General features: G+C 37.8%; 1 long non-coding RNA gene across 4 annotated transcripts in view, besides 2 other annotated features; it reads left to right on the top strand.

The window, feature by feature from the left end:
• Positions 849-1,394: an enhancer, noted in NCBI's record as "OCT4-NANOG-H3K27ac-H3K4me1 hESC enhancer chr14:48656073-48656618 (GRCh37/hg19 assembly coordinates)". NCBI's record gives its function as "activates a minimal SCP1, AML or CMV promoter by ChIP-STARR-seq in primed H9 embryonic stem cells {active_cell/tissue: H9 hESC(primed)}" and the evidence as "EXISTENCE:reporter gene assay evidence [ECO:0000049][PMID:30033119]".
• Positions 1,395-1,940: an enhancer, noted in NCBI's record as "OCT4-NANOG-H3K27ac-H3K4me1 hESC enhancer chr14:48656619-48657164 (GRCh37/hg19 assembly coordinates)". NCBI's record gives its function as "activates a minimal SCP1, AML or CMV promoter by ChIP-STARR-seq in primed H9 embryonic stem cells {active_cell/tissue: H9 hESC(primed)}" and the evidence as "EXISTENCE:reporter gene assay evidence [ECO:0000049][PMID:30033119]".
• The window catches only part of LOC101927483 (uncharacterized), a 34,094-nt gene continuing 17,619 nt past the window's right edge, over positions 8,102-24,576 (top strand). The window contains exons 1-3 of one of the 4 annotated variants that reach the window (XR_943829.2): positions 8,102-8,211; positions 18,881-18,997; positions 22,130-22,246. This is a non-coding gene — a long non-coding RNA (uncharacterized LOC101927483). Of the gene's footprint in view, positions 8,212-15,987; positions 16,703-18,642; positions 18,998-22,129; positions 22,247-23,482; positions 23,734-24,576 lie in introns of those variants that run through there. The other 3 variants (XR_007064149.1, XR_429360.3, XR_007064148.1) reach the window with 3 other exon arrangements.

Raw genomic sequence — 24,576 nt, forward strand, 5'->3', positions numbered from 1 at the left:
AAAATAAATAAAACATGATAAATTGTCAAATTTTCTTTTAGATTTGTTACAATGTTTTACTTATGTGGATCCAAAAGTGCCCAATAAGAAATAGTTATTTTATCTTCCCTGAATTACAATTTTTGAAAAAAGCATATATTGATTCCTTATTACGTATATGGCAAGGAAGTAGAGATGAGAGGGAGGATATGGAGTATTTAAATTAAAATCGGTCTGATTATTGCAGGATATACCCCAGGTAATTCACATTTTAGCATGACATTTCTTGAAAATTTTATTATTTCAATAAAAATTAAATCACTTTACTATTCTAAAAATAAATATTTGGATAATTTATGTGAGAAATGTTGGTATAAAGGATGTCAGATTTAAATGAAGATAAAATAGGTGAAAATAAAATGCTAAGAAAATATATTCAGTGAATTTTATTTTATTACATGTGATCTTTACAATAGAGCATCCTTTCATTATGCAAGTTTATATAACATAAGACATATATATATACACATCTATATTTCCTAGTTGATTGAACATAAACAGTGAGAACAACTAAAGCATTTAGAAAATAATAGTTGTGAATATATTGTTAAATAAAATGAGAGCAAATTCATGATGAGATTAAATAAAGAAAACTAATATTACTTTTCCTAATAACAATGTGTCATATCATCAAAACCTTAGCAGAGCCCAGATGGTTTTCTGTTGCTTCATTGCTAATTGAAAACCAAAGTAAGTGTTACAAAATCAAACGGTTATTAACAGATTAACAAAATCTGTCAAAGCAGAATATTCTGTTTAAAACTTGTTATGATAAATTTATTTTTTTATCCTGGAAAATGTTTGGATATTATGAATAATATTGGTCTAACAATATTCATGATGCTATATTTTTATTTATTAAGCATTTCTATTATAAAATGATTGATATCTATTAAGGAAAATATAAATATATAGAACAAACATGATAGAGTGTACATGAAGAATAATGAGAAAAAGAAGAAAAAAGCAATTACATTTTTTTTCATGTTCTTATAGTCAGTGTAGAATTTAGAAAAAACATTGGAGGAGGAGCCAAGATGGCCGAATAGGAACAGCTCCGGTCTACAGCTCCCAGCGTGAGCGACGCAGAAGACGGGTGATTTCTGCATTTCCATCTGAGGTACCGGGTTCATCTCACTAGGGAGTGCCAGACAGTGGGCGCAGGCCAGTGTGTGTGCGCACCGTGCGTGAGCCGAAGCAGGGCGAGGCATTGCCTCACCTGGGAAGCGCAAGGGGTCAGGGAGTTCCCTTTCCGAGTCAAAGAAAGGGGTGACGGACGCACCTGGAAAATCGGGTCACTCCCACCCGAATATTGCGCTTTTCAGACCGGCTTAAGAAACGGCGCACCACGAGACTATATCCCACACCTGGCTCAGAGGGTCCTACGCCCACGGAATCTCGCTGATTGCTAGCACAGCAGTCTGAGATCAAACTGCAAGGTGGCAACGAGGCTGGGGGAGGGGCGCCCGCCATTGCCCAGGCTTGCTTAGGTAAACAAAGCAGCCGGGAAGCTCAAACTGGGTGGAGCCCACCACAGTTCAAGGAGGCCTGCCTGCCTCTGTAGGCTCCACCTCTGGGGGCAGGGCACAGACAAACAAAAAGACAGCAGTAACCTCTGCAGACTTAAGTGTCCCTGTCTGACAGCTTTGAAGAGAGCAGTGGTTCTCCCAGCACGTAGCTGGAGATCTGAGAACGGGCAGACTGCCTCCTCAAGTGGGTCCCTGACCCCTGACCCCTGAGCAGCCTAACTGGGAGGCACCCCCCAGCAGGGGCACACTGACACCTCACACGGCAGGGTATTCCAACAGACCTGCAGCTGAGGGTCCTGTCTGTTAGAAGGAAAACTAACAAACAGAAAGGACATCTACACCGAAAACCCATCTGTACATCACCATCATCAAAGACCAAAAGTAGATAAAACCACAAAGATGGGGAAAAAACAGAACAGAAAAACTGGAAACTCTAAAACGTAGAGCGCCTCTCCTCCTCCAAAGGAACGCAGTTCCTCACCAGCAACAGAACAAAGCTGGATGGAGAATGATTTTGACGAGCTGAGAGAAGAAGGCTTCAGACGATCAAATTACTCTGAGCTACGGGAGGACATTCAAACCAAAGGCAAAGAAGTTGAAAACTTTGAAAAAAATTTAGAAGAATGTATAACTAGAATAACCAATACAGAGAAGTGCTTAAAGGAGCTGATGGAGCTGAAAACCAAGGCTCGAGAACTACGTGAAGAATGCAGAAGCCTCAGGAGCCGATGCGATCAACTGGAAGAAAGGGTATCAGCAATGGAAGATGAAATGAATGAAATGAAGTGAGAAGGGAAGTTTAGAGAAAAAAGAATAAAAAGAAATGAGCAAAGCCTCCAAGAAATATGGGACTATGTGAAAAGACCAAATCTACGTCTGATTGGTGTACCTGAAAGTGATGTGGAGAATGGAACCAAGTTGGAAAACACTCTGCAGGATATTATCCAGGAGAACTTCCCCAATCTAGCAAGGCAGGCCAACGTTCAGATTCAGGAAATACAGAGAACGCCACAAAGATACTCCTCGAGAAGAGCAACTCCAAGACACATAATTGTCAGATTCACCAAAGTTGAAATGAAGGAAAAAATGTTAAGGGCAGCCAGAGAGAAAGGTCAAGTTACCCTCAAAGGAAAGCCCATCAGACTAACAGCGGATCTCTCGGCAGAAACCCTACAAGCCAGAAGAGAGTGGGGGCCAATATTCAACATTCTTAAAGAAAAGAATATTCAACCCAGAATTTCATATCCAGCCAAACTAAGCTTCATAAGTGAAGGAGAAATAAAATACTTTATAGACAAGCAAATGCTGAGAGATTTTGTCACCACCAGGCCTGCCCTAAAAGAGCTCCTGAAGGAAGCGCTAAACATGGAAAGGAACAACCGGTACCAGCCGCTGCAAAATCATGCCAAAATGTAAAGACCATCGAGACTAGGAAGAAACTGCATCAACTAATGAGCAAAATCACCAGCTAACATCATAATGACAGGATCAAATTCACACATAACAATATTAACTTTAAGTATAAATGGACTAAATTCTGCAATTAAAAGACACAGACTGGCAAGTTGGATAAAGAGTCAAGACCCATCAGTGTGCTGTATTCAGGAAACCCATCTCAAGTGCAGAGACACACATAGGTTCAAAATAAAAGGATGGAGGAAGATCTACCAAGCCAATGGAAAACAAAAAAAGGCAGGGGTTGCAATCCTAGTCTCGGATAAAACAGACTTTAAACCAACAAAGATCAAAAGAGACAAAGAAGGCCATTACATAATGGTAAAGGGATCAATTCAACAAGAGGAGCTAACTATCCTAAATATTTATGCACCCAATACAGGAGCACCCAGATTCATAAAGCAAGTCCTCAGTGACCTACAAAGAGACTTAGACTCCCACACATTAATAATGGGAGACTTTAACACCCCACTGTCAACATTAGACAGATCAACGAGACAGAAAGTCAACAAGGATACCCAGGAATTGAACTCAGCTCTGCACCAAGCAGGCCTAATAGACATCTGCAGAACTCTTCACCCCAAATCAACAGAATATACATTTTTTTCAGCACCACACCACACCTATTCCAAAATTGACCACATAGTTGGAAGTAAAGCTCTCCTCAGCAAATGTAAAAGAACAGAAATTATAACAAACTATCTCTCAGACCACAGTGCAATCAAACTAGAACTCAGGATTAAGAATCTCACTCAAAGCCACTCAACTACATGGAAACTGAACAACCTGCTCCTGAATGACTACTGGGTACATAACGAAATGAAGGCAGAAATAAAGATGTTCTTTGAAACCAACGAGAACAAAGACACCACATACCAGAATCTCTGGGACGCATTCAAAGCAGTGTGTAGAGGGAAATTTATAGCACTAAATGCCTACAAGAGAAAGCGGGAAAGATCCAAAATTGACACCCTAACATCACAATTAAAAGAACTAGAAAAGCAAGAGCAAACACATTCAAAAGCTAGCAGAAGGCAAGAAATAACTACAATCAGAGCAGAACCGAAGGAAATAGAGACACAAAAAACCCTTCAAAAAATCAACGAATCCAGTAGCTGGTTTTTTGAAAGGATCAACAAAATTGATAGACCGCTAGCAAGATTAATAAAGAAAAAAAGAGAGAAGAATCAAATAGACACAATAAAAAATGATAAAGGGGATATCACCACCAATCCCACAGAAATACAAACTACCATCAGAGAATACTACAAACACCTCTACGCAAATAAACTAGAAAATCTAGAAGAAATGGATACATTCCTCGACACATACACTCTCCCAAGACTAAACCAGGAAGAAGTTGAATCTCTGAATAGACCAATAACAGGCTCTGAAATTGTGGCAATAATCAATAGTTTACCAACCAAAAAGAGTCCAGGACCAGATGGATTCACAGCCGAATTCTACCAGAGGTACAAGGAGGAACTGGTACCATTCTTTCTGAAACTATTCCAATCAATAGAAAAAGAGGGAATCCTCCCTAACTCATTTTATGAGGCCAGCATCATTCTGATACCAAAGCCGGGCAGAGACACAACCAAAAAAGAGAATTTTAGACCAATATCCTTGATGAACATTGATGCAAAAATCCTCAATAAAATACTGGCAAACCGAATCCAGCAGCACATCAAAAAGCTTATCCACCATGATCAGTGGGCTTCATCCCTGGGATGCAAGGCTGGTTCAATATACGCAAATCAATAAATGTAATCCAGCATATAAACAGAGCCAAAGACAAAAACCAAATGATTATCTCAATAGATGCAGAAAAAGCCTTTGACAAAATTCAACAACACTTCATGCTAAAAACTCTCAATAAATTAGGTATTGATGGGACGTATTTCAAAATAATAAGAGCTATCTATGACAAACCCACAGCCAATATCATACTGAATGGGCAAAAACTGGAAGCATTCCCTTTGAAAACTGGCACAAGACAGGGATGCCCTCTCTCACCGCTCCTATTCAACATAGTGTTGGAAGTTCTGGCCAGGGCAATCAGGCAGGAGAAAGAAATAAAGGGTATTCAATTAGGAAAAGAGGAAGTCAAATTGTCCCTGTTTGCAGACGACATGATTGTTTATCTAGAAAACCCCATCGTCTCAGCCCAAAATCTCCTTAAGCTGATAAGCAACTTCAGCAAAGTCTCAGGATACAAAATCAATGTACAAAAATCACAAGCATTCTTATACACCAACAACAGACAAACAGAGAGCCAAATCATGAGTGAACTCCCATTCACAATTGCTTCAAAGAGAATAAAATACCTAGGAATCCAACTTACAAGGGATGTGAAGGACCTCTTCAAGGAGAACTACAAACCACTGCTCAAGGAAATAAAAGAGGACACAAACAAATGGAAGAACATTCCATGCTCATGGGTAGGAAGAATCAATATCGTGAAAATGGCCATACTGCCCAAGGTAATTTACAGATTCAATGCCATCCCCATCAAGCTACCAATGACTTTCTTCACAGAATTGGAAAAAACTACTTTAAAGTTCATATGGAACCAAAAAAGAGCCCGCATTGCCAAGTCAATCCTAAGCCAAAAGAACAAAGCTGGAGGCATCACACTACCTGACTTCAAACTATACTACAAGGCTACAGTAACCAAAACAGCATGGTACTGGTACCAAAACAGAGATATAGATCAATGGAACAGAACAGAGCCCTCAGAAATAACGCCGCATATCTACAACTATCCGATCTTTGACAAACCTGAGAAAAACAAGCAATGTGGAAAGGATTCCCTATTTAATAAATGGTGCTGGGAAAACTGGCTAGCCATATGTAGAAAGCTGAAACTGGATCCCTTCCTTACACCTTATACAAAAATCAATTCAAGATGGATTAAAGATTTAAACGTTAGACCTAAAACCATAAAAACCCTAGAAGAAAACCTAGGCCTTACCATTCAGGACATAGGCATGGGCAAGGACTTCATGTCCAAAACACCAAAAGCAATGGCAACAAAAGCCAAAATTGACAAATGGGATCTAATTAAACTAAAGAGCTTCTGCACAGCAAAAGAAACTACCATCAGAGTGAACAGGCAACCTACAACATGGGAGAAAATTTTCGCAACCTACTCATCTGACAAAGGGCTAATATCCAGAATCTACAATGAACTCAAACAAATTTACAAGAAAAAAACAAACAACCCCATCAAAAAGTGGGCGAAGGACATGAACAGACACTTCTCAAAAGAAGACATTTATGCAGCCAAAAAACACATGAAGAAATGCTCATCATCACTGGCCATCAGAGAAATGCAAATCAAAACCACTATGAGATATCATCTTACACCAGTTAGAATGGCAATCATTAAAAAGTCAGGAAACAACAGGTGCTGGAGAGGATGTGAAGAAATAGGAACACTTTTACACTGTTGGTGGGACTGTAAACTAGTTCAACCATTGTGGAAGTCAGTGTGGCGATTCCTCAGGGATCTAGAACTAGAAATACCATTTGACCCAGCCATCCCATTACTGGGTATATACCCAAAGGACTATAAATCATGCTGCTATAAAGACACATGCACACATATATTTATCGCGGCACTATTCACAATAGCAAAGACTTGGAACCAACCCAAATGTCCAACAATGATAGACTGGATTAAGAAAATGTGGCACATATACACCATGGAATACTATGCAGCCATAAAAAATGATGAGTTCATATCCTTTGTAGGGACATGGATGAAATTGGAAACCATCATTCTCAGTAAACTATCGCAAGAACAAAAAACCAAACACCGCATATTCTCACTCATAGGTGGGAATTGAACAATGAGATCACATGGACACAGGAAGGGGAATATCACACTCTGGGGACTGTGGTGGGGTCGGGGGAGGGGGGAGGGATAGCATTGGGAGATATACCTAATGCTAGATGACACATTAGTGGGTGCAGCGCACCAGCATGGCACATGTATACATATGTAACTAACCTGCACAATGTGCACATGTACCCTAAAACTTAGAGTATAATAAAAAAAAAAAAAATTCAAAAAAAAAAAAAAAAAAGAAAAAACATTGACTCTAGTGAAGAAATATAAAATAATTTTCTTCACAGGGTAAAAGAGGCTCTGTGGAAAAATATGGCCATTCTTCTATGAGGAAGGAAATTTAGTGTTAACTTCACACTTTGGAGCTTTTTTTGTGTTCTGAAACAGCATGTTTATCAAGAAAAAAATATGTGATATGTTCAAAAGAATATTTGGATCGCTAACCTAATTTGAAAAATACTTTTTTTGTATCTTAGCTGTTGTCTTTAGAGAAAGTGTTTTTGTATTATTGTGTGGGTTTGTGTCTATACACAAATACATATTAGAGAAAATAACTGAAACTAAAAACAATGATAATTTCGCTAAAAAGCAATCCTTTAGGCTGGGAAAAAAAAATCTGCTCTTTGGGACTCATTTTTCATTAAGAGCTTTCAGCACACTTCCTTTTCATGCTGGTTTTTTAGAAAAAAAAATTTATTTCAGGAGATCTGCCAGTTAAAGAAAATGGTGTCAATTATTTATTATAAAGTTATTTAGCAACTAGGACTGAAATAGTGAAAGCGATGTATGTTAAGGTATTATATTAACATTTATTTATGAGAAGGCAACATTCGAATGTTACAGTAGGTAGCCAGTCAGACATAAACAGGGTAGGAGAGGTCATCTCATCCAAACCAGATATGTCAGGTGACCATCAGGTGATCGTCAGGCAGTTGTTAACTGTCTCTCTAGAATAATAATTGGTCACAGCTTGCTCCAGGGAAAGGTGCAAGTCCAAGTCCACGAAAAAAACCTAAAGCGGGTGACCAGCAGCTTCCCAATAAGATCTCAGGAGTCTGGCAAGTGGGCTTACAGATGCGCACTAAAAGGCAAAATGACCCCTTAACTGGTATGTGACATTTGGCTGGTAAGGGAAGAGCGCCTCAAGTGAGCATGCCTACAACGCCAGTAAGCACACTGCGCATGCCCATCTTCCAAGTACTAGCAGGTGCTGCGCATGCGGACAGCGGATCGCAAGGGGAAAAGACCCCGGAAGTACGCCAAAGTATAAAACCTCAGGTTAAAAGGTCAAAACTAGTACTTGTCCTTCAAGTCGCCCACTTGGCCCTCTTCCAGGTGTAGTTTCCTTTCTTTCATTCATGCTGTAAAGCTTTTTAAATGAACTTTCACTCCTGCTCTAAAACTTGCCCCTATCTCTCCTTCTGCCTTAACGCCCCTCAGTCGAATTCTTTCTTTTGAGGAGGCAAGAATTGAGGTTGCTACAGACCGGTACAGACTCACTGCCGGTAACACAAGCAGCCTAGAGGGAATGAGTCCCTTTTATTTACAGATTCTCCAGTAATGTTTTGGATGTAGTTTAGGAGCTCTTATCTTCAGGTACTTTTCAAATCTTATTTCAGTTGCTGGTATAAAAAATAAGGTACCTTACAAATATTTTCCTGGCTTCTTCTAAGGGACTACCAAATAGGAAATGTTTGAATATTGCTTATCCTGATGATTAAATCGCTTTCATAACATTGAAATAAACGCATTAAGGTAGTTATTTAAAAAGATAAATTTTATTTTAGAAATTTTTTTTTTCAAAAACCTGAAGCTCAAAAGGAAGACTCTTATTCTATCATTCTGTTTCTTGGTTTGCAACTATTTAAGTATAAGGAACTTGAGTCTAAATTCTTGTTTCAGTATGTATTAAAAAACTAACTAGGTAACAGTTTCTTCTCTGAAATCTGCAATGACAAGGCACAATTAGCATATTTGCAAAAACGACAAAATAATTCTGTCTTTAAACCATGGAGATAATCCCTAGTTGATATAAATACGTTGTTGCATTTTCAAAATTACCACCTTTGCATACACAGTTTTCTCATTCTGAAGCTAACAGGGGCTAAAACCAAATCAGTTGCATAGTGATGTAAATAACTGTGACAATTAATTGCATAGAACATAAAAAATGAAATACACCATGAAATGTCTTTCCTTTTACATTTTATAGATACAGTCCAAAAGTTCTGTTTATAATTCTTTACTGTTTTACCTATCGCCTCATCTTTTTAGAATAGTGGCAAGACTTACTTGGTAGTAAATAGATATTTTCCTAATAAGAAGAATTATTTGGACTCCTTATTGTCTCCTATTAGTCCCTGTGTAAACTTAAAATTCAGACATAATTAAATTATTTCCTGTGCACCTCAGAGAAAATTCCACATGTTCCAAAGGAGCCATTATATACTTAGAACTTAAATAGGAATTAATGAAAATATTTGTGCCAACAGCTAACACCAGTCTGGCTCACAAACTTTGGCATGAAAATGAAAATCCTGTAGTTTACTATCCACACCATTGTACATAATCTGATGAGCTTGCAATGTAAATATGCAATTTCTCAGTAAAAATGCAATGATAATGATGGACCACAAGAAAGTCAGGGAGAATTCCAGAGGCTCTCTGTCTCTTTCTTCTCTACGATTTCCTCTCAGTGGCTGTTGTTATCCAAACCATGTGTACTGGTTCTTCAAGCCAATCAGACTACAAATCTTCTATTTTGGATATTTAGGCACTTCATGCAGTGCAGACTGGGAACTGCTGTTTGAATATTTGTTGTCATATCCCCCACACTATTCTCATCCCCATGTAAATGCAAATGTTTAAAAATTGGTAGTATTTTTATTTATGTTTTTTTTTTGAGACATTCAGGTCAGCACTCAGAAAAATATGATGAAGGCAATATATGTTTTCTGACTCCTAATCACTACCCTTGATACTTTTCCTGCTCAATCTTCAGCTCCTCCTTCTAATTTCAGAGGCCTTTCATGCTTGCTGGGCTCAGCTGCCCTAATAATATAATAATAAACTTAGTGTTATAGACATTGTATGATTCCCTCTCAAGCGATCTTACATTTTAAAACAGCGCTATGAAAACAGGGCAATGCTTTATCAAAGGAAATAACTTGCTAGTGGTGAAATGATAAATGTATTTGGTTGGGTCAGTCGAAGGTATTTGGTTGGGTCAGTCACACCTTGATTAGTGACCCACATTCTGCTTGCTCTTAATGCTTTATGAAACTCTCATGGCTTCATTTATTTATTTATTTCTGAATATTCAAGTACAGCTTTAGAAATGATATAACACAGAGTATTTTAACATTTGCACATCAAAAGTAACTAAGTGACAAAACATAAATGAGGAACTATGTCTGCCTTTTTTGTACCCTTTTTGCAAAGATACTTTGACAGAATTTTTAAAGAATCACACAATGAAAAAGTACCCATTAGTGTAGCAGAAGTATGCAGGTTAGCTTTGTTAGATTGCCATGCTGTAATCTTTTGTGAGATATCAGAAATCTTAGTCGAACAGGAAAGGATGAAGCATAGAATTGCTATACATTTGAAATAGTCGTATTTTGATGGCCTGTTTTAGATATACTATTTTCCCACTCTTTTATCTGTCCCAGATTACCTTATGAATTTTCTTCTGGAGATATTCCTTTATGCTAGTGAGAAAGCTGTCACCAAATTTTCAGTTAATGAGGGTTGATATAGCCAAATTCCTTGCTGCTAGGATTTTACATGCCCGCCCTCTGCATTAGCATGAGCTTTTATTTTATTTTAAAGCACACTTTTTTTAGCGTGAGCGTAGTAATAGTCAAAGTCTTTAAATTTAGGTATAGGTCATATCAAATCCTTAAAAATCATTTTATAGAAACACAAATTCATTCTTAATAACGTGTTCCCTTTTTTCCTTTTCTTTTTCCTTTTATTCTTGTCTGTTTCCATGATGCCAGGATGTTAGTTAACTGATGCCTACTGAATTAAATTGAGGATCAGCCATTACATGATTATCATCTAATTCCTTGTTTTTAAATTGTATCCATTAATGAAACCCTGTTTGCAGATAAAAACATATAAATGTACTCAATGTATCAACTGGATAAAAGTGAGTCTAATTTTATTGAATAAAGTTCAAATTTGATATTTATTTACTAAGAGGACAGTAAAGCACTATGAAGCAGTTAGACTAGCATGAAATTTGCTATGGTGATTTCAGATGAAAGAGCAATATTGTCTGTCTCATTATCTAATTCATTGCTACATTTCTTTTTGTTGCTGTCACAAAATAGGGAGGTAATCTTTATACAAATAAGTGCTTATAAATAATTAGAGATTTTTAGGTATGGTATTTGGTCAATACTCTTCTAATAAACTGATCTGAAGTTTCTAAAATGAACACTAGGATATTTTTATTTTTTAGATGAATTACAAAACATTATCTTAATGTGTGTTAAATTTACAGGGAACCAGTGATTGTATTTAATTCACAATTTCTTAAACATTGAATACAAAATACCTATATGTTTCATAATATCTTAGATGTTCAAATATGTTTTTAAAATAATTTTAGCTATTTTTTGACAGAAACTCAAAATCTCTAAAGATTACAGTAAAGTTTTTCCAGTCACAGCTGAATTAAAATTTTAATGCACTACTATCTTATATCTACATTTTTAAAGAGGAAACAGTAACCTTGCATTTTCAAATTGATTTCAGAATGCTTTAAAAAATCTCTAATATATCAGGATTATACAATGATCATAAATTAGAGATATAATTTATGAAATATTTGCAAAAGCAATGTCAATCCAGCGAATAAACATAAGCACAAAAATGAAAATCCTAGAATTCACTAACCACATTGTTGTGCATTATCTGTTGTCTACAATTTAAATATTTTGTCCCAGTAAAAATGACTATATGGCATTATTCAATATTTAAAAAATAATACTGGCATATTTTCATTGGCAGTACTTGTCAGAGAGGCATATTTTGATACTAGAAAGTCTTATAACAGCTTTAATATGAGCCACAAACTACATCATTGCTTTTCATGCCATTGTTTCCTGTGCCATCACTGTATACTTACACTGCCTAATATAGTAGCCACAGGATACATGTGGCTATTGAACATTTGAATGTGGCTAGTCTGAAGTAAGAGATGCTACAAGTGTAAAATATACCGTTTTTATAACAGAATGAGAAAAGAATGTAAACCATTCATTTTTGTATTGATTACATTTTAAATATTCTCAATATTTTGGGGTAAACTATATTATTATATTTTATTATGTCTGTTTGTTTCTATGTTGTTATTGGGAGTACTTACATTTTTGAAGTCCTATGCAACTATTATTCTCATAAAAGGGAAATTGCAGTGGAAAATAATTTGAATTCCAATTCCTTCAAGTGTGAAGCATGTTATCTTAACTTGCATATTGTTCTAAATATTGTTCAAAACAGTTAAACTTTCATTAAAAATACTGTGATTTGGGCCGGGCGTGGAGTCTCATGCCTGTAATCCTAGCACTTTGGGAGGCCGAGGCAGGCTGATTACCTGAGGTCAAGAGTTCAAGACCAGCCTGGCCAACATGGTGAAACGCCGTCTCTACTAAAAATACAAAAAACTTAGCCGGGTGCAGTGGTGCACACCTGTAATCCCAGCTACTCAGGAGGCTGAGGCAGGAGAATTGCTTGAACCCAGGAGGCAGAGGTTGCAGTGAGCCAAGATCATGCCACTGCACTCCAGCCTGGGCTACAGAGAAAGACTGCGTCTCAAAAAAACAAAAACAAAAACAAAAACAAAAACAAAACAAACAAAAAAACCCGTGATTTGTTGCATCCTTTTCAGCCTAATCAAAGTTCCATTTCTTTTTGTTACTATCAATATATTACTTCAGTTTTTAGAATTTTCATTAAGATGTATCTTGGCATTGATTTCTCCTGGTTTACCTTGCTTGGGATTTGCTCACCTTTTTGAATCTATAGGTTTGTCTTTTATCCAACTTAAGAAAATTTCAGCAACTCTTTCTTTTAGCACTTTTTTCAGCCCTGACCTCTTTCTCCTCTCCTTTTGAATGTCAGTAACTTGAATGTTAGATCTTTATCAGAGTCCTTGAGTCATTCTTGTTCAGTCTGTTTTCTCTCTTATTCAGATTTGGTGATACCTATTGTTCTGTCTTCAAAGTCATGATTCTTTCTTTCTTTTTAATGTTATGTAACTTTTTTTTTTTTTTTTTTTTGAGATGAAGGCTGGAGTGCAATGGCGCAATCTCCACTCACTGCAACCTCCATCTCCCAGGTTCAAGCGATTCTCCTGCCTCAGCCTCCCGAGTATCTGGGACTATAGGTGCATAGTTTATGGCTATCAGACAACCACCTACTTAGATACCAGGCACTTCTATTTCAGGGACTGGTGCTTCAAATACACACGTGTGCGACCCTCAACCCTGCCGCTTTTCTCCCAGAGGATGGGGAACCAATCGAGCCTGACTGCCAACAAATTATAGTCCAGACTTACGCCACCTTAGAGGATCTCTTAGAAGTGCCCTTAGTTAATCCTGACCTTAACCTATACACTGATGAAAGTTCATTTGTGGAGAATGGGATGCAAAGGGCAAGTTATGCCACAGTAACAGTACTTGAAAGTAAGCCTCTTCCCCCAGGGACCAGCGCCCAGTTAGCAGAACTAGTGGCACTTACCCGAGCCTTAGAACTGGGAAAGGGAAAAAGAATAAATGTGTATACAGATAGCAAGTATGCTTATTTAATCCTACATGCCCATGCTGCAATATGGAAAGAAAGGGAGTTCCTAACCTCTGGGGAACCCCATTAAATACCACAAGGAAATTATGGAGTTATTGCATGCAGTGCAAAAACCCAAGGAGGTGGCAGTCTTATACTGCCAAAGCCATCAGAAAGGTGAAGGAGAAAAGGCAGAAGGAAACTGTCGGGCAGATGCTGAGGCCAAAATTGCTGCCAGGAGGAACTTCCCATTAGAAATACCTACGGAAGGACCCTTGGTATGGAACAACCCCTTCCAAGAGATTAAGCCCCAGTATTCCCCGACTGAAACAGAATGGGGAATTTCACAGGGGCATAGTTTTCTCCCCTCGGGGTGGTTAATGACAGAAGAAGGAAAGGTACTTATACCTGAGGCCAGCCAGTGGAAAATACTTAAAACCCTCCATTATACTTTTCATATGGGTATTGAAAACACTCATCAAATGGCCAAATCCTTACTTACAGGGCCACATTTCCTCTGGATCATCCGACAGGTAATCAAAGCCTGTGAGGTGTGCCAAAGGAATAATCTCTTGGTCCTTCATAAGCCCCTTTGGGGGAACAAAGAATAGGTCACTATCCTGGAGAGGACAGGCAGTTAGACTTCACCCATATGCCTAAGTCAAAGGGATTTCAATACTTGTTGGTCTGTGTTGATACCTTTACAAATTGGATCGAAGCTTTCCCCTGCAAGACTGAGAATGCTCAGAAGTGATTAAATGTGACCCTAATTCATGAAATAATTCCTAGATTTGGGCTTCCGCAAAGCTTACAGAGTGACAATGATCTGGCTTTTAAAGCCATGATAACTCACGGAATTTCCAGGGTGCTAGGGATACAACATCACCTCACTGAGCCTGGAGGCCACATTTCTCAGGGAAGATCTGGAAGGCAAATGAAACACTCAAGAGGCACTTAAGGAAACAAACACAAGAAACTCATCTCCCATGGCCTACTCTTTTGCCCATGGCCTTATTGAGAATCCGAAATTCTCCTCACAAAATGGGGCTCAGTCCATATGAAATGCTGTATGGATGACCTTTTCTCACAAATGACCTCCCACTTGATCAGGAAACGGCCAACTTGGTCAAAGGTATAACTTTTTTGGCAAAATATCAACAAAACCTTAAAAACCTACCTGAAGGATGTGACAGAGAAAAGGGAACAGAGTTGTTTCAACCAGGAGATCTAGTGTTGGTCAAATCTCTCCCCTCTATCTCCCCATCTATCGACTCTGTGGGAAGGACCATACTCAGTAATCCTCTCTACCCCCACTGCAGTTAAGGTGGCAGGAGTGGAATCTTGGATTCACCACACCAGAGTTAAATTTTGGACACCCCCTGAGGAACCTGTGGGACCATCAGCTCAGGAGTCCCAAGATCAGCCAGACCAGCCTCGATACACCTGCGAACAGTTGGAAGACTTGCATCTCCTATGTGGGAAGGAAACATCCCAGATTAAAAAGGCTCCTACCACTGATCCTGAAGAAAAACCCCTTCCTCCTTAAAAAAGATAAGTGAAAACCACATAATCTTTAACACCTCTCCTTACCCCTTTAATGGAATCATTTTACTATTTCATCATATTATTAAGCAGCATACTAACCATACTCTTTGTGATAGGGCTATAAACTGTAGCTCCTGCTGGGTCGAACATCCTAATCACATCAGCCTTCTTTCTGTCTTCCTTCCTTCTGACAGCAATTTACTCCTACCTTTAACTCAGCCTGGATAAAATGATCTCGTGTTCCAGAGCACCTCTTTACCTTCCTATTTACTCTTTGCCTATCTATCCCTCCTGCTTCCTTGGATACGTCATACAATCACCTATCCCCTTCCACTAGCTCCTAATTACCTCTACAAGACTCTCAACTTAACCCACTCTCTGTTAAACCAGTCCAATCCTTCCCTGGCAAATAACTGTTGGCTTTGTATCTCTCTATCAACCTCGGCTTACGTTGCCACTCCCATTCCCGCAAAAAATTGGGTCTTTACCGACTTAACCTACCACCCTCATTATGAAGGAAAAGCCCCTTTCTGACTTCTAAATATGCAATCATTAGCCGACTTCCCCATCTCTGATAGGACCAAGAATACCCTAACAGGACGAGGACGTGCAATCCAACTTTCACGTTCTTACATTTCCAACCTCACCTATTACACAAGCAATGAAAAGCCCATACACGGTCCTGTAACTACGAATATCATCTTAACTTTCCCAGCCCCTTTATGCATTCATCGCAGCCTGTTATCAGGCCTGCTTCTGGGGCACCTACTACCACATCAGTATAATTATACCCTACAACTTCAAGCCCCAACTGATCATAGTAACTTCCGAGTCACACAAGTAGCTCCATTCAGACGGCTTCTCAGGGCCCCTCAAAATCATCACCTCCTCCCTGCTTAACAAACAGTCCAAGTTTTGTAATGGCAAACATACTCCCTGCATGACCATTGACCCCTGTATTCCCTGCATGAACCCCCACCACTAGTGAATGCCTTCTCATCCCTATTTCAATCACTCTCTCGAATGGTTCCTAGTAGATACAAAATGATTTTTTCTCCAGTGGGAAAATAGAACACGGGGAGCCACTCAGTTTGCTTCCAACACTCCTTTCCAGCCACTCACTGGAGCTACCTTGGCAAGTACTCTAGGAGTATGGGAAAATGAAAAGAACAAACTCTTACACCAAACTCTGGAGTTGGGCAACATGGCTTCTCCCCTTTCTAGGTCCCGTGGCAGCCATCTTGCTATTACTCACCTTCAGGCACTGTATTTTTAACCTCCTTGTTAAATTTGTTCCCTCTAGAATCGAGGCCGTCAAGCTACAGATGGTCTTACAAGTAGAACACCAAATGCGCTCAACTAACAACTTCTACCATGGTCCCCTGGACTGACCCGCTGGCCCTTTCACTGGCCTAAAGAGTTCCCCTCTGGAGGACACTACAACTGCAGGGCCCCTTCTTCACCCCATCCAGTGGAAGTAGCTAGAGTGGTAATCACCCAGTTACTAACAGCACTTGGGGTGTCCTGTTTAGAGGGGGGATTGAGAGGTGAAGCCAGCTGGACTTCCTGGGTCAAGTGGGAACTTGGAGAACTTTTCTGTCTAGCTAAATGTTTGTAAATGCACCAATCAGCACTCTGTAAAATGGTTCAATCAGTGCTCTGTAAAATGGACCAATCAGCAGGACATGGGTGGGGCCAAATAAGGGAATAAAAGCTGGCCATCCCAGCCAACAGCGCAACCCACTCGGGTCCCTTTCCATGCTGTGGAAGCTTTGTTCTTTTGCTTTTCATGATAAATCTTGCAGCTGCTCACTCTTTGGGTCCGCACTACCTTTATGAGCTGTCACACTCACTGCAAAGGTCTGCAGCTTCACTCCTGAAGTCAGTGAGACCACGAACCCACCAGGAGGAACAAACAACTGTGGATGCGCCACCTTTAAGAGCTGTAACACTCACTGGGAAGGTCTGCGGCTTCACTCCTGAAGTCAACCAAGACCACAAACCAACCGGAAGGAATAAACTCCGGACACATAAGAACATCTGAAGGACAAACTCCAGACACTCCATCTTTAAGAACTGTAACACTCACTGCAAGGGTCTGCAGCTTCATTCTTGAAGTCAGCGAGACCAAGAACTCACTGGAAGGAACCAATTCCAGACACATAATCACATATAAAGTAACAGTTTTCAGTTTTGTATTACTATTGTATGCTGTTTTTAATTTTGTTTCAGTGTATGTGTCCTTATATTTAAGTCTCTGGAAGGCCATATAACATTTTTGTATCTTCCCAATAGCAAAGACTTGGAAACAAACCAAATGTCCATCACTGATAGACTGGATTAAGAAAATGTGGCACATATACACCATGGAATACTATGCAGCCATAAAAAAGGATGAGTTCATGTCCTTTGCAGGGACATGAATGAAGCTGGAAACCATCATTCTCAGCAAACTATCACAAGGACAGAAAACCAAACACCACATATTCTCACTCATAGGTGGAAATTGAACACCAAGAACACATGGACACAGGGCAAGGAACATCACACACCAGGGCCTGTCAGGGGGTCGGGGGCTGGGGGAGGGATAGCATTAGGAAAAATACCTAATGTAAATGACGAGTTGATGGGTGCAGCAAGCCAACATAGCACATGTATACCTATGTAAGAAACCTGAATGTTGTGCACATGTACCCTAGAACTTAAAGTATAATAAAAAAAATTTTGTGTCTTCCATGGCATCTAGTAACATGCTTTTGTGAGCATAGAATTTTAAGTAGTTGGTAATTTTAACTAACTAAGAATAATCTCAAACACCTTCTTCAGATGAATGATCACAAGTTGGGGGAAATGATCGACTCACCCACATGGAGGACACTTGCACTCCATTTTTCCTTGAACAGCCAGAGTAGTCCCAGAAAAAGTTAGTGAACTTTGTAGGAAGCAATGCTGCATATGAAAAGGGAACACATGCCGGGTGTGGTGGCTCATGCCTGTAATCCCAGCCCTTTGGGAGGCCGAGTTGGGCGGATCATCTGAAGTCAGGAGTTGGAGACCAGCCTGGCCAACATGGCAAAACCCTGTCTGTACTAAAAACACACACACACACACAAAATTAGCCAGGTGTGGTGGCACACGCCTGTAATCCCAGCTACTCAGGAGGCTAGGGAGGGAGAACCTAGGAGATGGAGGTTGCAGTGAGCCGAGATCACACCACTGCACTCCAGCCTGGGTGACAAGCGAGACTCTGTCTGGAAAAAAAAAAAAAGAAGAAGAAAAAGAAAAGGAAACACAAACTTTGGAGTTGGAAAATAATTGTCTTTGATTCCCAACTATGCAGCTTCCTAAAATTTGAATGTGGGTAATTTATTTGCTACTCTCAACCTATGTTTTACCAATTATTAAATAAAAGCCTGCTCATTGCTTTAGACTTATTCTACCCAAAATATCTTATTCCAAGGCCACACACTGAATCTGTTCATTGCAAAAAGCTACTCTGCATAGGATTGATCCCAGCCTCCAAGATAGATACTCCATGGGAATACACAACTTGTTCTTAACTTACCAGTGCAGTCTCAGTTCCTTTAGCACATTGTTGAATATGTGCCATAAGACGATTCAGTCAAAATGATCTCCAATATTTTACAGAATAAATCTTTTTTTTTAGATCATATGAAGTGTGCGTATGGTACCTATTGGAGCTATCTTGAGCCCATATAAAGAGTAAGCTTTAGAATGACGGCGACTCACAGAGAAAGCTAAGAATCATCAGAAAATGAAAATCGTAAGTCTCATCAAAACTTAATTGATGTTTGCCCTCAGTAACTCTAGATTTTTCAGCTAATTGTTGTGGAAGCCCCTCATCATCTCTCCTGATTCACTTTTGGGATTTATTGCTCCCATTCCCAGCTATATGTTTTTTGCATGTTATTAAGCATCTTAAATCCCCACAGTCTCCTGAGAAATAAGAGAAAAAATAAATCTAAAGAGCCAGTCATCAAAATTAATTTTATTTAGAAGAAACATGACCAAAAAAAGATTATCTGTAAATATATTTTTCTAAGATATCCTAATATGATTACTAAACATAAGAAACTAGTTCTCTCTTCTTTGGGGTAGACAGAAGCAATGCACTCAAATAAAACTGTCAGTTCAATGATCTTTTCAGGTAGACAGATACACTTAAGGGAACATTTGAACAGTATCATGTCAATTTACAAATGGCTTAATTTCTAAAAATGGATTATTTTATACACATAGCATTTATTTTCCTTATTGCAATGCAAAAAAATACGCATTATGTGTCATTGCTTACAAAGCATAGGTACACTTTGTACTTTGCTGTACTAATGACTGATAAAAAATAAAATGGCAGCATTGCACTGCTAACAGCAGTAATTGGAGTGCATCCCCTCCTAGATCCTTGATATAGTTGTCTGTTGAGAGATGGCAGATTAGTATCAATAGCTCATTTTTCTTTTTTATAAAGATATCAAGAACCATTTATTTTTTTTTAAATCACCTCATTTAGTTTAATTTATTGGCCCTTCATACTCACATTTCTTTCTGAGATCAGTTCTGAGCTTGCACAGCCTATTTTATGTTACCATCAGAACCTTTACGCTGAGCAAAAAAATGAATGTCAAAGATTTAGCCTAAGGCTATCTTGAATCATTTCCCAGAGATAGTTATTCTTTCTGGAACTCTATTCCTATTTTCTTAAATAACTTGCAGTACAAAAAGATGTCAGTTTAAGAACAGCGATTCCTGTATCTATGTGCCATGTAAGATTTTACTCCCTAAAATATGGAAGATTGCTTATTTATAGAGGTTTCTTATTCTGTTACTTTAATTGAGAATCCTGAACCTTTTATATGAGTCAATTATGAAAAATTATACAAATATTTGCATAAATAAAGTTAACATTTGAATAAACAAGGATAAATCTGTTTAGTGATCTAAAAGTCTTTAAAAGCATAAACGTTTGAATTATAAATGGAATCAAATAATTAGGAGACAGAATAATGCTGAAAGAAGAAGTTTCAGTAGGAAAAACTGTAAGAATGCTCAATTGCATTTCATTTAACACATTTTGAAAAAGGACCATAGATTTTGGCCACAGGTGAGAGCAATCAACAAACAATAATAATATATTTTAGTGTATACTTTTCATTATAATCAACACTATAATCAATAGCATTAGTATCAAAACACTGGAATGTTTAGTTGTGCACTAATTAAGATGATATAGCCTGGTAGGAAAGAACACTGGATCTGGAACTAGAGTGTTTACATATGGATTCCAATTCTTTCACTTATGACCTGTGTAATATTGGGCAGGTGATAAAATCTCCTAGGGTATTATTTTCTCCACCAGAAAATTGGAAGTAATCAATTGTGGCTACCTGTTAGATTTTTATGAGAAAAGAATTAACATAAGTAAATCATGTAGCACAATGCCTGGCTTATAGTTAGCACCCCATAAATGTTCATTGCTATTATTTTTATTTTGTTGTGATTTTATTTTGGTTATATTATTTTTTGGGTGAAGAGAACTGTGTAACTTCAAGTCTTAATATCCAGAAACTCTCAGGGTGGGTCTAAGATTTTAGTCTACTTACAAGATGATTTGATGGCCTGTTAATGTTTCATGAATCGTGGCAAAAGACGAGACTCCTGTGTCAGAGACAAACTTTTTAACAGCGAAAGCAGTGTCCACAGCTTGATGTTCGTGTGCTTTGATTCTCCATGACCCCCATGTCCCATTGGTAGGCAACACAAAGGGCCTCTATAGATGTCTGTACACTCAGTCGGTTTCATTACAGTAATGGAGACATGAACTTGGGGTTTCACTTGTTTTATGGTGCGTAGAGGCAAGCCTATTCTCTATCCAAGGTAATGTGTTACTTATCTCTCAAGTTCATTCACTACAAAAACAACCATGAAAAAAGGTCTGATTTAAAAGCTGTCAGGGTCTTAAATTATTAGCGTACTCATCAATGGCATACAGGAACAGTCAGGGTCTCGTAGATTTCTTCTCCTGATAGAAACTTCAAAAAAATGGCCCCGGCGCAGTGGCTCACACCTGTAATCCCAGCACTTTGGGAGGCCCAGGTGGGTTGATCACCTGAGGTCAGGAGTTCAAGACCAGCCTGGCCAACATGGTGAAACTCCATCTCTACTAAAAATACAAAAAATTAGTTGGTCATGGGGGCAGGTGCCTGTAATCCCAGCTACTCAGGAGACTGAGGCAGGAGAATCGCTTGAACCTGGAAGGCTGAGGTTACAGTGAGCCGAGATTGTGCCACTGCACTCCAGCCTGGGCAACAAGAGCGGAACTTCATCTCAAAAAAAAAAATAGTAAAAATAAAATAAATAAAATTGTGTTTTGTCTTCAGCATGTTTGGGACTGTGATGTCCATAGGGTCAATCTTCTCCACATGAAGACATGATTGTATTTTTTTAATATTGCCTTGGATCTATATGTCAGTGTCCCAGTTCTGTAATAGCAACCATTCTTCTTGGTATTGAATTCACTTTTTTCTATTTCATTTTTTCCTGTTAATTTTTAATCACATTTAATTTTCTTTATTTAAGTTGTACCTTCTTATCATGTAAGAGTGCATGGGAATTTTTGTATTCTTGGTTTCTCTTTTACTAATTTTTTCATGTTTGTTTCTTCTGGTTATAGCTAAATGTGTTAAATCATAGTGTAGAATATGAGACATTCTTAAGTTTGATTCTACTACGATTATGAATTTTCGTATATTTATTCATACTTTAGGGATGATTTTTTTCCATTTGTATACTGTTAGTTAGCTACTTAGGTCACCCTAGGTAACATAAATGTTGGAATTACTACTTTCTTGGACAACTTCTTTCTGCTCCCATAAGCCAATCTTAATTTATCTTTCAGGATGTCTCTGAAGTCTCTCTTCAGCCAGGAGGCTTTTCCTATTGAAGCACTCTGGGGCACATTGATTTCTCCTATGTTTTAACTTCAAACATGGCATCATCTGAAACCTATATTTTGGTTTGTAATTATGATGTGCTTTATAATGTACTTTATGGTTTCTGCAAATATAAGTTTTTATTCTTGACTAAGGTTTTACACAGCTTGAAGTCAAGGATGGTGTCATATGTCTTATGTGCCTAACACACTGTACCATGTTAGGCATTCATAGTACCTAACATGCTGAAAACACACACTTTTTTTGATTTAGATTATATCATGTTAATGAAGTGTGATGATAAATAACAAACTAAAAAGCTAGTAAATGTGACCTTCAAGCAAATTGGAAGTTAGTGGTACCTATCTCAACACAGTTGAAAATTTTTGTATAATTTTTGACTTTCCCTAAACTTAAGTATAGATAGTAGTTAGTAATTAAGTTTTAGGAGAGTCAAAAGTCAAAATATGTGTTAATCAAATGTTGTATGTTAGCGGTAAGTAAGGCTTCTAGTCAGAAGTAGAAGCCTTACTGCTAACGTAAAACAGTTAACACATATTTTGTATGTTGTATGTATTATATACTCTATGCTTACAATGAACTAAGCTAGAGGAAAAACTCTTATTAAGAAAATGATAAGAAAGAGAAAATACATTTACAGTCTGCACTGTTTTGTGTTTATCAGTACCATAAGTTTACATCATCCGTTTACACGATGAACCACCTGTCTGAAAAAGCATGCAATCGCAGCTACAGACCTCAATCTGCAGTACACATCAAGCAATTCAACTTTTTCTAGTAATGTCATGATTTTTCTCTGCTTGGGATCACTTTCAGCATCACTACTGGCACTTCGTAGGGGTCCAATGGTGTTATTCAAGGGTTGCAGTGTTACACTAAACACGATAAAAATACAAGAGAAGCACAGAGAGATCACTTTTACTGCAATATGCATTTTACTGAATAGGCAAACTGCTCAGTGTACAATTGGACATGATTAATATCTCATAGCATTTTAAGCAGATGCTCCCAACACTTGAGTTCACTGCAATAGCAATAGGAGTACAGAATGTATTACAGTTAATTGTATGCAGTTTTGATTTAATACTGCATCTTTATGCTTGGTTGTATTTCCCTTAACTGTGAATGGTGCCATGTAAAGTCTGGGAGTGTTTATATGCCTAAGATTTGATAGATTTTAATGTTTTATAATAGATTTGTGCATATTTTATGGTAGTAAATGATAAAATACACTAGTATTTACATATATTTATGCATTCATGGCATAATTGTTTTCTTGTTTTTTTTGATATTTCTAGATTATGGGTTTGTCTGCAAGGTTTTTTTCAAATTGGCACAAATTTCCAAAAAGGTTTCTGAAATATTTATTGAAAAAAAATCCACATATCATTGGAGCCACACCAATCAAACCTGTGTTGTTCAAGGGTCAACTGTATTCTCTAAAGTCTCAATTCATGAACTCAATGCTTTCATTTGCAGTAGTTTATCTACTTTGTAAAATATATCTTTTTGAGGAAATAAACATGTATACTTAAATTCATCTCACCAATATGGCGCACCTGCAAGTATAATCGTTGTTTTCTTTATTTTCTGCCCTGATGGTTATTTTGTTATCCAGAAGTTTCTTGGACCTGTGATCATTTTCACAGTAAAGTAATGTGATCATTTATGGGTTTTCAGGTATCCATTTTGTTAATCTAACTGAAATCTTTAAAAACATTTAGAAAGCTGCATTCTACATATTTACAGTCAGATCACCTTGAAAAAGTCAACTTTGATAATATTTTAGCCTTGAAGACAATCTATTATTGATTAGTTATAGAAAGCAAAAATCAGTTGTGATATGCACATGGTAATCAGTAATTCTGTACTGTGTTTCTCTGATATTTTCTTTTGAATTCTCTTTCATTTTTTATATTATTGGAATTGCTCTGGAAATGTTTATACATATTTTAAATAATGGCAATAGGACACTATGACACTAAAGAATATTATAATCAAACAGTAGAAAGATATTTCCTATTTATTGTATTAATATTCATCTGAAATAGTAAAAGTCTTCATACTAAGAAATTCACTCCTATCCTGAAGCTTATCATAGTCCAGTCAACAGGATACTTACTCTTTGACTACAAGTCTTGTAAAGGTTTCAGCCAAAAATCAATACTTGACTATCAGAAGTAAAATAACTATACTTTATTTGCCCCTTGTTATACTAAAGTTTTCTTTTACATTTCAGTAGATAATTTTAGTGTTTGCTATTACAGTAATTGCTTGACAAATTTTATACTGACATGAATAAATAGCAGGAGCTTAGTACTTTGTTGTTTTAGTTTTTATTAGAACATGAAGTTACCTTTTATGGTCACCTCCGACCAGAGTAGCTATATTT

Source organism: Homo sapiens, chromosome 14 (genome assembly GCF_000001405.40).
Source record: "Homo sapiens chromosome 14, GRCh38.p14 Primary Assembly".
Classification (NCBI taxonomy): domain Eukaryota; kingdom Metazoa; phylum Chordata; class Mammalia; order Primates; family Hominidae; genus Homo; species Homo sapiens.